Here is a 16,235-nt window from a genome sequence, read left to right as displayed (position 1 = left end):
AGGAGCCAGCACTGTGAGGTCTTCCAGGCCATGATAACAAGTTTGGATTGTATTTTATGTGTAACAGTTACAAAGTTTTTAGTTGGAAGGGGACACGACCTGATTTGCATTTCTAAATTATTTCTTTCTGGCTGTTCTATGGAGAACAGCTTAAAGGAGGGCAAGAGTGAAAGCACCAAGTCCAGTCTGAAAGCTTTTGCAGTAATCAAAATAAGAAATGATGGCAGTTTGTACTAGGGTGAATGTATTTTGAAAATAGACTGAATAGCCGGGCACGGTGGCTCATGCCTATAATCCCAGCACTTTGGGAGGCCGAGGCAGGTGGATCACCTGAGGTCTGAAGTTGGAGACCAGCCTGGCCAACATGACAAAATGCTGTTTCTACTAAAAACACAAAAATTAGCCGGGTGAGGTGGTGGATGCCTGTAGTCCCACCTACTCGGGAGGCTGAGGCAGCAGAATCACTTGAATCCAGGAGGCAGAGATTGCAGTGAGCTGAGATTGCACCACTGCACTCCAGCCTGGGCGACAGAGCGAGACTCCAACTCAAATAAATAAATAAATAAATAATAGACCTAATAGGATGTTGCTGATGGTATAGAGTATAAGGTGAAAATGGAATTAAGGGTAAGCCGTAGATTGTTTATGTGAGCAACAGGGAATATAAATATGCAATTTACTGAGATGGGGCAGATTGGAAAAGGAGCCCATTTGGAGCTAGAGATCAAGTTTCATTTGACATGTTAATTTTTGTATGTTTGTTACCCATCCTATGGGTGATGTCCAGTGGCAGAGTGAAGCTCAGGGAAGAGTTCAGGCTGAGTATATCATTGGCATTATCAGCACACAGGTGATATTAGAACCTTGGAACTGCATACCATCACAGCCTGGAATGGGTGTAAATAAAGAGAAGTTGGTTCCTAACATACGGAGTTTGGAAAGGGAGGAGCCAGCAATGAAGGCTGAGAAGGAGAAAGATCTGGGGAGTTTGATGATCAAAAAGCCAAGGAACAAAATTATTTCTTGGAAGGGGGAATGATCAGCCATTTCACATACTGCTGTGAAGCTGAGTACATTGATCACTGAGAATTCACCATTGGATGTGACAACATGGGGATTAGCTCTTTAAGTGTAATGGTGGGATGCAGTCCTGATTAAAATGAATTCAAGAGAGAATGTGCCATTAGGAAATAGAGACAATAAATATAGACAATATTTAAGAACTTTTTACTGTCAAGAAAAAGCATAGAAATTTGAGGTAATTGGAAGAGAGCCTGGGGAAAAGATATTTTTATTAAAGATGGGAGGCATTTTAATATGTTTGTATGCTGATAGGAATAACCCAATAGAGAGAAAAACAAATGATGCTGCAAGAGAAGGAATAATTGCAGGATAACCCTAGAGTGGATGAGAGGGATTGGGAATCAGTATGCAATTAGAGAGGCTGACTTTAGGAACAAGGCAGGCAACTCATCAGCTCTTTTAAGAGAAAAGGCAGGCTATGTGGTTCCGAATGTACTCAACTGGCAAATTTGATAATGAGAAGGTAAGGTAGGTGTCTTCCAATTTGCTTCCACTTTTTTTTGAAAAATAAAAAGTGATCCCATTGGTTGACAGTGAGGAGTAGGGTGAGGTATAGGATGTTTGTGGAAACATCCCATGTTGAGAAGAAAGTGTGAATTGTCTTCTAGGACAATTCAAATTGTCCTAGAAAATTTGAATTGTCCTAGAAAATTGTCTTCACAGACCGAATTTGCTAGAGAATGTTGTTGGATTGTCTGGCAGTGCTGAGATTTGTGGTAATCACTTTAAGGGGAGACAGCAAAACTATGTCTTTTTATCCAGCCACATTCAGCTGCTTAAATATGAGTGCAAAGTAGATGGATTCTGGACTTAATCAGAATTGGAGCTTTAAAAGTTGGGTAAAACATTTGGAGAGAGACGAGAGGAAGATGAGATGTGTGTAAAATGGAATGATCATAATGGCGAACTACAAAATCTGTCTAGGTAGAAATAGTGAGCAAAGGGATTGATGGACTTTAAAAAATGGCGTCATTTTGGTATGTGGAACTGAAGCATTATTGAAATAAAGAATAAACTTTGTTTTTTTTGAGACAGAGTCTCGCTCTTGTCACCCAGACTGGAGTGCAATGGCACAATCTCGGCTCACTGCAACCTCCGCCTCCCAGTACTCAGTGTGTGGTCACAGATAGCAGCACTGGCTTCATCTGGGAACTAGTTAGAACTACAGAATCTTAGAGCACAACCTAAACTTACTGAATTGGCGTCTGCACTTTGACAAGAGCTCAAGATAATTCCCATACTAATAGAGTTTGAAAAGCACTTAAAACCGTGCCTGATACATAGTACTCACTCAATAAATTAGTTTCCATCATTACTATGCCTTATGAAGTTTAATAATCACAAGGTACCTGAATGATAATGTAAGTTCTTAAAGTTCTTTTTCAAATTAATCTCTCTTACACAGTAGATGATTCAGGGTCCCATATTTTGTTATCTGGTTTAGTGACTGAGGAGTCTTTATGTCTCAAATTTGATTCAGTACAAAAGAACACTTCTTATCTCAGATGTTCAAGATGATATTTTATCATTTTAAAATCTTGCCATTGTATATCAATAGTTTGTTCAGGGCCAGGCACAGTGGCTCATGCCTGTAATCCCAGTACTTTCGGAGGCCGAAGTGGGCAGATCACCCAAGGTAGGGAGCTCAAGACCAGCCTGGCCAACATGGCGAAACCCTGTCTCTACTAAAAATACAAAAAAATTAGCTGGGTGTGGTGGCAGGCGCTTGTAATCCCAGCTACTCCGGAGTCTGAAGCAGGAGAATCGTTTGAACTGGGGAGGTGGAGGTTGCAGTGAGCCGAGATCACACCACTGCACTCCAGCCTGAGCCACAAGAGTGAGACTGTTTTAAAAAAAAAAGTTTGTTCAATGGTTGATTCACCCATGTATTCATGCAACAAATTACTGATTTCTTAGCATGTCTAGATACAATGCTGCATGCTAGGGAATCAAACACGAAAAAATTGTAGATCTTAACCTCAATGAACTCAAAGACGGTGAAACATGAGGAAAAAATACAACATGGAATAAGCTAGTTACTCTAAGAGAAGAATGTCCTGAGTGCAGAGGAGCCTAGGGTAAAAAACACCTTAGCCTACCTGGCGGGTCAGAACACATTGCTTCACTTTTGAGCTCAAGATCCAGACAAGCTACCTAATTTTTAGAACCCAGTGCAAAATGAAAACACAATGCCCCTTGTTCAGAAATTATTAGGAATTTGAAGAAAGAAACAGCAGAGGATCAAACCAAACATGGCCCTTTGAAATAAATAAATGTGGGGCCCCATGCAATTGCACAGGTCACACAACCACTACTTCAAAATTTTTTTTTTTTTTTTAAGATGGAGCCTCACGCTGTCACCCAGGCTGGAGTGCAGTGGGACAATCTCTACTCACAGCAACCTCTGTCTCCTGGGTTCAAACCAGTCTCCTGCCTCAGCCTCCCAAGTAGCTAGGATTACAGACGCCCGCCACCACACCTGGCTAATTTTTGTATTTTTAGTAGAAACAGAGTTTCACCATGTTGGCCAGGGTGGTCTCGAACTCCTAACCCCACCCGCCCCAGCCTCCCAAAGTGCTGGGATTATAGGTGTGACCCACTGCACCTGGCCCATTGTTTTTTAAGAATGAATAGTTATCCATTAGATGCAATAGATTACAATTGAACATTTCTAGATTTAAGCAAAAATTGATCAATTAACCTTGTATTTATTTATTCCAGAAATGAATTTATTCAGTTATTTTGTTTTCTGAATTACATCAAAGAAGACACATCCCTCTGCACTAAAATACAGTATTTGGGTTGGCAATTAGTGGATTGCTTTTCCCCTTTTTATCCAGCTCTATTTTGTTTTTTTCCTACCGATTTGTAGATCATTTTCTTCTCTTATAAATGAAAACATTTCCTTCTGTTTTATCATCCACCTCCCATCTCCTACTGTGTCGGGAATTGGTGGGTTCTTGGTCTCACTGACTTCAAGAATGAAGCCGCGGACCCTCTCGGTGAGTGTTACAGCTCTTAAAGTGGCGTGTCTGGAGTTTGTTCCTTCTGATGTTCGGATGTGTTCGGAGTTTCTTCCTTCTGGTGGGTTCATGGTCTCACTGGCTCAGGAGTGAAGCTGCAGACCTTCACGGTGAGTGTTACAGCTCTTAAGGCAGCACGTCTGGAGTTGTTCGTTCCTCCTGGTGGGCTCGTGGTCTCACTGCTTCAGGAGTGAAGCTGCAGATCTTTGCGGTGACTGTTACAGCTCATAAAAGCAGCGTGGACCCAAAAAGTGAGCAGTAGCAAGATTTATTGCAAAGAGTGAAAGAACAAAGCTTCCACTGTGTGGAAGGGGACCCGAGCGGGTTGCCACTGCTGGCTTGGGCAGCCTGCTTTTATTCTCTTGTCTGGCCCCACCCACATCCTGCTGATTGGTAGAGCCCGGTGGTCTATTTTGACAGGGCGCTGATTGGTGCATTTACAATCCCTGAGCTAGATACAAAGGTTCTCCACCTCCCCATCAGATTAGTTAGATACAGAGTATGGACACAAAGGTTCTCCAAGGCCCCACCAGAGCAGCTAGATACAGAGTGTGGATTGGTGCACTCACAAACCCTAAGCTAAACACAGGGTGCTGATTGGTGTATTTACAATCCCTGAACTAGACATAAAGGTTCTCCAAGGCCCCACCAGAGCAGCTAGATACAGAGTGTCCATTGGTGCATTCACAAACCCTGAGCTAGACACAGGGTGCTGACTGGTGTGTTTACAAACCTTGAGCTAGATACAGAGTGCTGATTGGTGCATTTACAATCCCTGAGCTAGACATAAAGGTTCTCCAAGGCCCCACCAGACTCAGGAGCCCAGCTGGCTTCACCTAGAGGATCCCGCACCAGGGCTGCAGGTGGAGCTGCCTGCCAGTCCTGCGCCGTGCGCTTGCACTCCTCAGCCCCTGGGTGGTCGATGGGACTGGGCGCAGTGGAGCAGGAGGTGGCACTCGTCGGGGAGGCTCAGGCGGCCCACGAGCCCATGGAGGGGGTGGGAGGCTCAGGCATGGCGGGCTGCAGGTCCCAAGCCCTGCCCTGCGGGAAGGCAGCTAAGGCCCGGTGAGAAATCAAGTGCAGCGCCGGTGGGCTGGCACTGCTGGGGGACCCAGTACACCCCCCACCGCCGCTGGCCCGAGTGCTAAGTCCCTCATTGCCCCGGGCCGGCAGGGCTGGCTGGCTGCTCCGAGTGCGGGGCCCGCCAAGCCCATGCCCACCCAGAACTCCAGCTGGCCAGCAAGCGTCCCACGCAGCCCCGGTTCCCGCTCGGGCCTCTCCCTCCACAGCTCCCTGCAAGCTGAGGTGAGGGAGTGGGCGCCGGCCTTGTCCAGCCCAGAAAGGGGCTCCCACAGTGCAGCGGTGGGCTGAAGGGCTCCTCAAGTGCCGCCAAAGTGGGAGCCCAGGCAGAGGAGGTGCCGAGAGCGAGCGAGGGCTGTGAGGACTGCCAGCACGCTGTCACCTCTCACTACCACAGATACAATGAAGAGCTGCTGTTTGGAAAGCAGTTTTCTTTTCTTTGGCGTCATTGAGGCTACATCCTGTTTGTTTGAATTTGATTGCCCTCAACACACAAATTAAAAGAGAGTCCATTAATAGAGATGTTAAGTTTTCAAAGCGAGAGACTACTCATAAGATTTTTAAGGTCCCTGAAAATAGTTTCAAGTTTAAGTCAAAGTTAGTGAAGCAAACGTTTCCAATGAAAGATTTAAAATAGTCTACTGAAAAATACCTGTGCATCTATCTCCCCAGTTCCCATAACATAGAAATTCTTCAAACATAGGTCTGACTTAAAATGATTTTTCTATTTCATCCTCTACGTAGTGAAGAATAAGCCTGTTTCATTCAGATTCACAGTTAGTAGATACTTTCTTGTTTATTTTGATGGGTCAGTGATGGATTACATTTGTGAAAACTAATAGTACTGGATATATAATACGCCTATAATAATTACTAATTATTCTATAAGGTGAAGAAGTAGGTAAAATGATTGTATAAAAGTTAAAATATTCTACTAAGTAGCTAATGAATGTACTATATTTAAAGGTACTTAATCATATCATTATAGAATTTATTTTGCAGATGGGGAAATTAAGATAAGAGGTTAAGTGACATACCCGAAGTCATACAGCTTTTTGAAGCAGAACTGGGAATCTGAAACTGCCTTTGCAAAATTATAACTGAGAAAATTATAACAGTGAGAGATCTTACCTGACTCCATCTTGCTTCTAACCTCCAAGCTGTTCCTCTTCCTTTCCTAGGAATAGGCCAAACTAACTTTGGGAGAAATTTATGGTTTAACTTCGAAACAATGGCGGTAACAGCCCTTTCCCAAAACAAATCCCCTTCCTGCCTGGGGACTAGATTGCTCTTGCAGAACTAACAAATCAGCCACAAGATCAGAAGTTATGGTTTAGGTGTCTTGCAACTGGAAGCTGCAAGATTCTGAACCTCCCCAAATTTTTCCTTGGGGATAACATCACTATGGTAAAACCTTAGAACAGTGTTTGAGATATTTTGTAAACCCTGTACTCGATGGATCAGCTGGCACCACTCAGATCAATAAACTGGTTCATCTGATCTTGTGGCCCCCACCCAGGAACTGACTCAGCGCAAGAGGACAGCTTCGACTCACTCTGATTTCATCTTCCACCTGACCAATCAGCACTCGTGACTCACTGTCCCCACTACCCACCAAATTTTCCTTAAAAAGCCTGATCCCCAGGGAGACTGGTTTCAGTAATAATAAAACTCTGGTCTCCCGTCATGCAGCCAGCTCTGCGTGAATTAAACTCTATCGCAATTCTCCTGTCTTGATAAATCAGCTCTGTCTAGGCAGGGGGCAAGGAGAACCCTTTGGGGGGTTACAAGCCTCCTTGCTCCTGGTTTACTTTTTCTCATGGGTTTAATGAAATATTATTTGAATGTAACATAAAATTTGAATACACTCAGAGGAACTACAAAAATTCAAAGTTGAACTAAACTCTGGGCCATTTTGAAATTGTGATTAGACTTAGAAGCCGATTTTCATCCACTCATTATCATTGCTGAATGCCATTTGACTATATCTTACCTCTCTAGGCTTCATCAGCAATATCTAATAATTACATATCATAATGTAAACTACCAAACAATATTATTTTACTCTTTGCAAGGACTTTGGAAATAACTGGAAATTGCTTGCTTCTTTCTCTTTGTCTCTTTCTTCTGTTTTTTTGTTTTGTTTTGTTTTGTGTGTGTGTGTGTGTGTTTGTGTGTTTGGAAAAAATGTGAAAAATAGATATATCAGAATAAAGTCTTCGTGTAATATTATGTTAAATTATTTAATAATCAGAAAATAAAATAAAATATTTTATTAAAAATATATATGTATAATAGTTGTATGACAAAATAAATCTTTGGCCAAATGGCTTTCTTATAATTTTGAGTAGTTTGATAAAATAAAATCATGTTAACCTACAATAGGGAAAATAATAAATTGAAAATAATAACTTGAAAATTATTTTATACCTGAAAATTATTTTAGCCTCTATTTTAAATGACTAGATTTTGTTCTGGACTAATTCAAAGAATGGCTTTTGTCACATTTAGTTTATAAAGACCCAGATACCTATTGAGATTATTTTGCCTATGTGATTTTTTTGAAATAAAAATTTTATTGAAGTGTAAGATACAGAAAGTGCACAAAACATAAGGTAAAAGTTAATTAATACTATTTATTTTCTAATTATTGCTGGTGTATAAAAATAACTATTAACGATGACCTTTTATTCTGTGCTCTCACTAAATTCACTTATTAATCCTAATGATTTACTGGTAGCTTCTTTTAAATTTTCTATGGACATAATCATGTCATTTGTGAATAATGACATCTTTATTTTTCTTTTCCTATACTTACCCCTTTTATTTATTACTCTTGTATTATTGTTTGGCAGGGGTAAACAAACAGCATCTTTCTCTGAAAACATTTATGTAAGTATGTCTTAACTTTTACCTTTAAATAATATTTTCACTGGATATAGAATTACAGGTTTGCTGTTATTTATTTCATTATTTTAAAAGTGTTAATCCACTCTCTCCCATCATTTCAGTTGGAAAATCAACTGTCTTATTTTTACTCATTTTAAGATAATGTGTCTATTATTCCTTCGCTTTAAGATTTTCTTAATTGTCTTTATTTTACAATCATGTGCCTTTTGTGTGGTTTACTTTGCATTTACCCTTCTTGGGTGCTGTAGTACTTCTTGAACTTGAAGCTTGATGTCTTTTGTCAATTTTGAAAAATCTTACGCCATGAATTCTTTCAATATTGCTTCTCTCTCTTATTCCCTTCTGAGGCTCCAACCATACACATATATTGGCATTTTTATTACTGCTCCAAGTATGTCTTCTGCTGTTTTTCTGCATCTTAAATCCTATTTTCTCCACGTTGCAGCTTGAACACTTTCTGCCTCAATTTAGCAATTCTCTCTTCAGCTATGTCTAATCTGCTATTAATTCCATTTATGGAATTTTAAAAACATTTATATTATTTAATATAACACAAGTACAGAAAACTTAAGAAAGTATACATAATGTCTATGAAATGAATAATCTTGGAAAGGACTACACATATCAAGAGCCACTCCAGAGCTCTATCCATGGTCCCTGCCCAATCACAATACCCTCTAGCCCCTAGTGGTAGTCAATATTTTGACTTTTATAGTAATATAAACTTATGAAAATTTTTTTTAGCATGAGGACATTATACTAAGTGAAATAAGCCAGCCACAAAAAAAAAAAACAACAAATACTGTAGGATTCTATTTATACAAGGCCCTTAAAGTGGTAAAAATCATAGAGACAGAAAGTAGAATGGTGGTTGTCAGGAATTGATGGTGGCAGAGAGGGAATGGGGAGTTATTGTTTAATGGGTACAGAGTTTCAGTTTTACCAGATGGAGAGTTATGGAGAGGAATGGTGGTGATGGTGGCACGACATTATGAAGTATTGTACTGAATACCACTGAACTGTATGCTTAAAGTGATTAAGATAGTTCATTTTATGTTATGTGTATATCACCACCACCATGACAACAACAACAAAAAATATTTTTTTAAAAAAACCTGTAGGATGATTTAAGTCTTTAAGAGATGTCATCTTCTTTCTAGAAGGGATTCATTTTTGTCAGAGCGGGCAGTTTGATTTAGGGGAGATAGCCTTTATCCAATCTAAGATTTTGTTGGTTGAGAGCAATATTTAGTTTTATGAAGGCTGAAGTATTACTTGTTCACCTTTATTCCAATGGTATAGCCCTTTAGGGCTTCCAGCTGAAAGTATGGAATATTTACCAAGACCCCTCCTCCCTGGAAGACCCTATACTCCTATTTGGTGTTCCCAGACTTGAAGCTGCCAAAAGGTTTACTCAGCTTTTTAGCCTTTTAGTGCTGCTGATGAATCAACAGGTGCCTCAAGGAGAAACGTGGTACCACATGTTGGGTTAAAATCTCTAAATTTCCCTCATCTCCAGAGCCCTGGCCTCAAGTACTCACTTCCTTGGTAGATTTTAAACCATTTTTAAAACTCATTTTTTAAAACTAGCTTTTCTGGTTATTTTTATGAAGTTGTTCTGATATAAAGTAGTCTGCCATAGCTGGATGTGAAAATCTTACTTATGTCCTTTGGTCTTATTCACTTAGCAAGCATTTAAGCCAAAGATATAATTACAGGCGTACTTTGGAGATATTGTAGGTTTGGTTCCAGACCACTGCAATAGAGTATCACAAGAGAGCAAGTTGCATGAAATTTTTTATTTCCCAGCGTATATAAAAGTTATGTTTACACTGTATTGTAGTCCATCAACTATCTATAGCATTGTGTCCTTAAGAACAATATGTCTGAAAAACAAAGTACATACTTTAGTTTCAAATATTTTATTGCTAATAAATGCTAATGGTCATCTGAGCCTTCAGTAAGTTGAAATTTTTTGTTGGTGGAGTGATTGCCATATTGTTGATAGCTGCCGACTGATCAGGGTAGTGATTGCTGAATGTTGGATTGATTGTGGCAATTTATTAAAATAAGGCAACAGTGATTTTTGCTGCATCAATTGATTCTTCCTTTCATGAAAAATTTCTTTGTAGCATATGATACTGTTTGGTAGCATTTTACCCACAGTAGAACTTATTTCAAAATTGGAGTCAATCCTCTCCAATCCTGCTACTGCCTTATCAACTAAGTTTAGGGAATATTCTCAATATTTGTTGTCATGTCAACAATATTCACAGCATCCTCAGCAGGGGTAGATACCATCTCAAGAAACCACTTTCTTGGCTTATTCATAAGAAGCAACTCCTGATCTGCTCAGGTGGTTTTTTGTTGTTGTTGTTGTTGTTGTTGTTGTTTTGTTGTTGTTTTTTTTAGATTGCAGCAATTCAGTCACATCTCCACACTCCACTTCTAGCTTTAGTTGTCTTGCTATTTCCACCAGATCTTTATTTACTTCCTCCAATGAAGTCTTGAACCCCTTAAAGTTAACCATGAGAGTTGGAATGAACTTTTTCCAAAGTCCTGTTAATGTTATTATTTTGCTTTCCTTCCATGAATCACAAATAATCTTCATGGCATCTAGAATGGTGAATTCTTTTCAGAAGGTTTTCAATTTACTTTGCCCAGATCAATCAGAGGAATCCCTTTCTATGGCAGCTATAGCCTTATGAAATGTGTTGCTTAAATAATAAGGCTTGATAGTCAAAATTACTCCTTGATCCATGGGCTACAGAATGGATGTTGTGTCAACAGGCATAAAAAGTATTAGGCTGGGCGCAGTGGCTCACGCCCATAATCCCAGCACTTTGGGAGACCGAGGCGGGCAGATCACGAGGTCAGGAGATAGAGACCATCCTGGCTAACACAGTGAAACCCTGTCTCTACTAAAAATACAAAAAATTAGCTGAGCATGATGGCAGGCACCTGTAGTCCCAGCTACTCAGGAGGCTGAGGCAGGAGAATGGCATGAACCCAGGAGGCGGAGCTTGCAGTGAGCCGAGATCACACCACTGCACTCCAGCCTGGGTGACAGAGCGAGACTCCGTCTCAAAACAAAACAAAACAAAACATTAATCTCCGTGTACATTGCCATCAGAGCTCTTGGGTGACCAGGTTCGTTGTCAATAAAGAGTAATAAATTGAAAAGAATATTCTTTTCTGAGCAATAGGTCTCAAGAGTAGGCTTAAAATATTCAGTAAGCCATGCTGTAAACAGATGTGCTGTCATTCAGGCTTTGCTTTTCCATTTATAAAGCACAGACAGAGATTTAGCATGATTCTCAAGGGCCCTGGAATTCTCAGAATGGTAAATGAGCATTGGCTTCAACTCAACTCAAATTCACCAGCTACATTAGTTTCTAGTGAGATAGTTAGCTTGTTCTTTGAAGCTTCAAAGCCAAGCATTGACTTCTCTCTAGCTATGGAAGCCATAGATGGTATCTTCTTCCAATAGAAGGTTGTTTCACCTACATTGAAAATCTGTTATTTACTGTAGCCACTTTCATCAATCCTCTTAGCTAGATCTTCTGGATAATTTGCTGCAGCTTCTACATCTGCACTTGCTGCTTCACCTTGCGCTATAAAAGTTAAGAAGATGGCGTCTTTCCTCAGCCTTCATGAACCAACAACTACTAGCTTCCAACTTTTCTTCTGCAACTCCCTTGCCTCTCTCTAAGCCTTCATAAAGTTGAAGAAAGTTAGGGCCTTGCTCTGGATTGGGTTTTGGCTAAATTATGGAAATGTTGTTCCTGGTTTGATCTTCCATCCAGACTACTCAAACTTTCTTGATATCAGCACTAAGGCTGTTTTACTATTTTATCATTCATGTGTTCACTGGAGTAGCACTTATCATTTTCTTCCTGAATTTTTCCTTTGCATTCACACCTTGGCTAACTGGCACAAGAGGCCTAGCTTTCAGCTTATCTCTGCTTTTGACATGTCTTCCTCACTGTCTAATCATTTCTAGCTTTTGATTTAAAATGAGAGACTTGTGACTCTTCCTTTCACTTGAACACTTAGAGGCTACTATAGGGTTATTAATTGGCTTAATTTCAATATTGTTGTGTCTCAGGGAATAGGGAGGCCCAGGAAAGGGAGAGAGATGGGGGAGTGGCTGGTCATTGGAGCACTCAGAACACACACAACATGTATTGATTAAGTTTGCCTTTTTACATGGGCATGGTTCATGACATCCCAAAAACAGTTACAATAGTAACATCTAAGATTGCTGATCACAGGTCACCATAACAGATATAATAATAATGAAATCAGAATATTGTGACAATTACCAAAGTGAGCACATGATGTTGGAAAAATGGCACCAATAGACTTGCTTGACACAGGGTTGCCACAAACCTTCAATTTGTGAGAAAATGCAGTATCTGCCAAGAAGAGTAAAGTGAAGTGCAATAAAACGAGGTATGCCTGTATACTGTTTAGTTGTTTTTTAAGTGGACTTCTAAAGCAATGCACGTACTAGACAATGTCTTAAACTTTGTGTATCCCTGTGCATATACTTTTTTTTTTTTTTGAGACAGGGTCTCTCTCCCATTGCCCAGGTGGGAGTACAGTGGTGTGATTATAGCTCATTGCAGCAGCCTCAACCTCCTGGGCTCAAGCGACCCTCTCGCCTCACTTTTTGAGTTCTTACTATGTTGTGCTGGCAGGTCTCAAACTCCTGGGCTCAGCTCACCTTGGCTTCTCAAAGTGCTGGGATTACAGGCATGTACCCCAGCCTGTACATACGCACCTGGCCTACATACGCTTCAAGGTTAGAAAGGATCTTACAGCTATCTGTTTGGGCTGTCTATGTATCATATCATGTTTTGTTTCATCCATTAATGTTATTTAATAATAAGAAGTCTAAGAATATACTATCATGTTGAAAGAATTTAATTCCTAAGTTTTTATTTCTACGTTGATGTAGATATGCAAAGGAATAAAATGTTCTAAAGTAAAAGAGAAGTATTAGCAGATTAAGTTTTCACACACACACACACACGCACACACACACAGCATGTAATATTTGCAAAAGCTTTGATTAACACAGGGAGCTACATTTCCTGTTGAATGGTATTGTGCTCACTGATATAGTACTCACCTGGTATTTATACAGTCAATAGGCATCTCTTTATAACTAACCCAAATATTACCACACCAGTGTGTGTAGAACTACAGGCAAGCTGCTCAGCAGGTACAGGGCACCAAAGCCACAAGATACAGAGAAGTCTTACAGCATGTCTTAAGCACTTAATCTCAAAAACAAATCCGAGTTATTCCATTAATTTCCATTTTCCCCTAATGTTTTACTTGTTATAATTTTCTACACTCTCATTTTGAAAAAAAAATTATAACATTGATCAGAATGGGCCTCCAACTTTCTTTCCCTGCCACTCCTCAACCCCTCTTTAAATTCTATGGTACACCTCTTTCATGCAAGGGATGCATTACTAATAATGGTAGTGTGCAAAAACTAAAATCTTAATAGTACAATATTTATTTTTATTTATTTTATTTATTTATTATTTTTTGAGACAAGGTCTCACTATTTGCCCAGGCTAGAGTGAAGTTACATGATTTCAGCTCACTGCAACTTCCACCTCCTGGGCTCCAGTGATCCTCCCACTTCAGCCTGCCAAGTAGCTGGGACTACAGGTACATGCCACCACTCTTGGCTAATTTTTGTATTTTTTGTAGAGACAGGGTTCTTGCTATGTTGCCCAGGGTAGTCTTGAACTCCTGGGTTCAAGTGATCCACCCACCTCAGCCTCCCAAAGTGCTGGGATGACAGGCATGAGCCACCACATCCGATCACTTAAGAAGATCACTGTTTAAATGCAGTCTATTTGGCATTCTTTTTTTAAATAAAAAAATTTACTCATTAATTTATTCATTTTTAAATGAATGGTTATTAAGCTGCCTATAAATTGAGTCTAACTTTTTTTGAGTGTGAGACAGCATACTAGATATTAGATATTTTAATATTTTACTCTAAAATGAAGGTCAAGTGATCAAATAATGGATTATGAGACTATTAAAAATTCAAAATATCCATGGAAATTATAAAAACTGAATAACAGAGAAAAATGGATGCCCATTCTATAAACTATACTACAGATATCATTTGGTGATATTTTTGATAGCATAAGTTTTGGGTTGTACCTCTTCTGGAATCTTGGGCCATTAAGTCTCTAAATTACTTTTAATCTGTCCTAAAGCCTGCAAAAATGTAAGATAGAATCTGGAGTTACACAGTAATTCTCATAGCCTTGCATGTGAATTATTTATTAAATTCTTGAACAGTATTGCCATTTGAAACAATGCATAAACCCAGATCAATCTTTGGATTTGAAACTATTATTAAAATAACATTTTTAAAGTATCAAGGGATAATCTTGATGTTATACCAATGATAGTTTCTGAATCATTTCCTTCATTTTTATACTAAAAATGACCAAGTTTGAAAATAATAGTAATATTACAAAAATGAGTCTTTGCCTAGGCTTAGAAGATATCCTATATTGCTATTTAGATTCTTTTCTCAAAAGAAAAAATTGCTTTCTACCAGGGAATTCAGTTATCTGTACCATGATGAAAAAATTTTGGTATTGCATGCCAACAGTGTCACCCAGGACCATTGAATTACCTGTTAAAGCTCCTGTAATCAGGCAGTTCTGCCTTTCCTTCAGGCTTGAAAAGTTTAGGATATAAAGCCTCTAAAAGCTCCGGATCATTGCTAATGGCTTGTTCCCAGGGAGATTGATAGTACTTAGGGACAGCTGTGGTGTTGAATTTTTCAGGAGGAATTTCCTTCAGTGGTCCAGAATATCCTTTGGAAAAATATAGCAAAAGTAAGTAAATACTGTGCCCGAGAGTTACTAACCTCCACCTAACATTTTACCATGTTTGATTTTTCATGCTGGGATAAATTTATGAAGCATGCATCCTTTTCATGATCCCTTAGAAAACAGCAGTCTGCAAGTGTTAGACATTTTAGAGCTCCTGTAAGCTTATGGAACTTTAAAAAGAAACCATTTTTCTTAATGTTTAATTTTTCCAAATTATACAGTTTTTTCTTGACTGTCTTAGTATATATATTTTTCCAGTAAAACTGTTCATTTAGTTTTCTAAAAATTGTGCTCCTTGCATTAATTCACACTAGACTTTAGATACCACAATTAATTAATTTAAAAATGTTAATATTGAGTGCCTATTGTAGTCTAAGGTAGGGGAAATCGCAATGCAGACAAAATCTCCCTCCTCCCAGAGCTGATTCTTTAGAGGTGATGTTTGGGTCTTGTCTGTCTTCAATTGCTGAGTGCTCTGTAAAATGTTTGAGCTTCAAGAAGATGAAGTAACTTGTTCCCACGGCCTTATTCAGGCCCAGCTCTTCTTATCTCCCAATGTACCCATCCCCTTTTTATTTTGTTCCTCAAGATTTCTTACCTAGCTTTTCTGCTTCTGATCTCACCTCCCCAGTTTATTCTTCCCATAACAGCTGGGAATTTTCTGTAAATACTGTTTAAAAGTCACGGAAATTCTTGGCATAGATCTTTAAACCTTTTTCACATGCATAGAGTGACACTCTTCCAGTTTTCTAAGGCACAGTTATCTACTTTCTGTTTACACTGCCATATTACCTAGTTATATCCCTGCAATTCTCTCTTCCACCATGTCAAATCCCTTTACCACTTGATGACTTCTACTTTTAGATTTCTCTGATGCTCTTTCCCATCTCTGCAATAATTTTGATTTTCTTCTGTCAAAGCATGCCTATCTCCTCTTTACACTAAAATGTTTGTCTCCTCCAAAAAAAAAGCCCCTTCCTGATAATTCCATGTCTAAACAGTTATTTGTGATTATTTAATTTTCTTCAGATTGCCTCCAGTATCTAATACAAATCTTTTTGTGTAGGCTCCTTTTCTCTGCTTACCACTTAAATACTGTTGTTCCTCAAAGCTCTTTTCTTACACAATGCACTCTACCTAGAAAATTCCATTTATATTCATAGCTTCAATTGTGACCTATGTATTGATAATTCTGACTTTTTAAAAAAATAATCAAGCCCTCTACTGAATTATTTACTATATTTATCAAAATAAA

At 39.1% G+C, this 16,235-nt stretch overlaps 1 protein-coding gene across 3 annotated transcripts in view; it reads right to left on the bottom strand.

Moving 5' to 3' along the window:
• Positions 1–16,235, bottom strand: part of MYOZ2 (myozenin 2) — a 51,958-nt gene that overhangs the window by 8,617 nt on the left and 27,106 nt on the right. The window contains exons 5-6 of one of the 3 annotated variants that reach the window (NM_001440645.1): positions 14,779–14,962; positions 6,318–6,363 (exon numbers count right to left, since the gene is read on the bottom strand). In NM_001440645.1, the coding sequence (NP_001427574.1) occupies positions 6,318–6,363; positions 14,779–14,962 (230 nt within the window). Of the gene's footprint in view, positions 1–6,317; positions 6,364–9,880; positions 10,612–14,778; positions 14,963–16,235 lie in introns of those variants that run through there. The other 2 variants (NM_001440646.1, NM_016599.5) reach the window with 2 other exon arrangements.

This window comes from Homo sapiens, chromosome 4, assembly GCF_000001405.40.
Source record: "Homo sapiens chromosome 4, GRCh38.p14 Primary Assembly".
NCBI lineage: Eukaryota > Metazoa > Chordata > Mammalia > Primates > Hominidae > Homo > Homo sapiens.
This window is presented reverse-complemented; position numbering and strand designations above follow the sequence as displayed.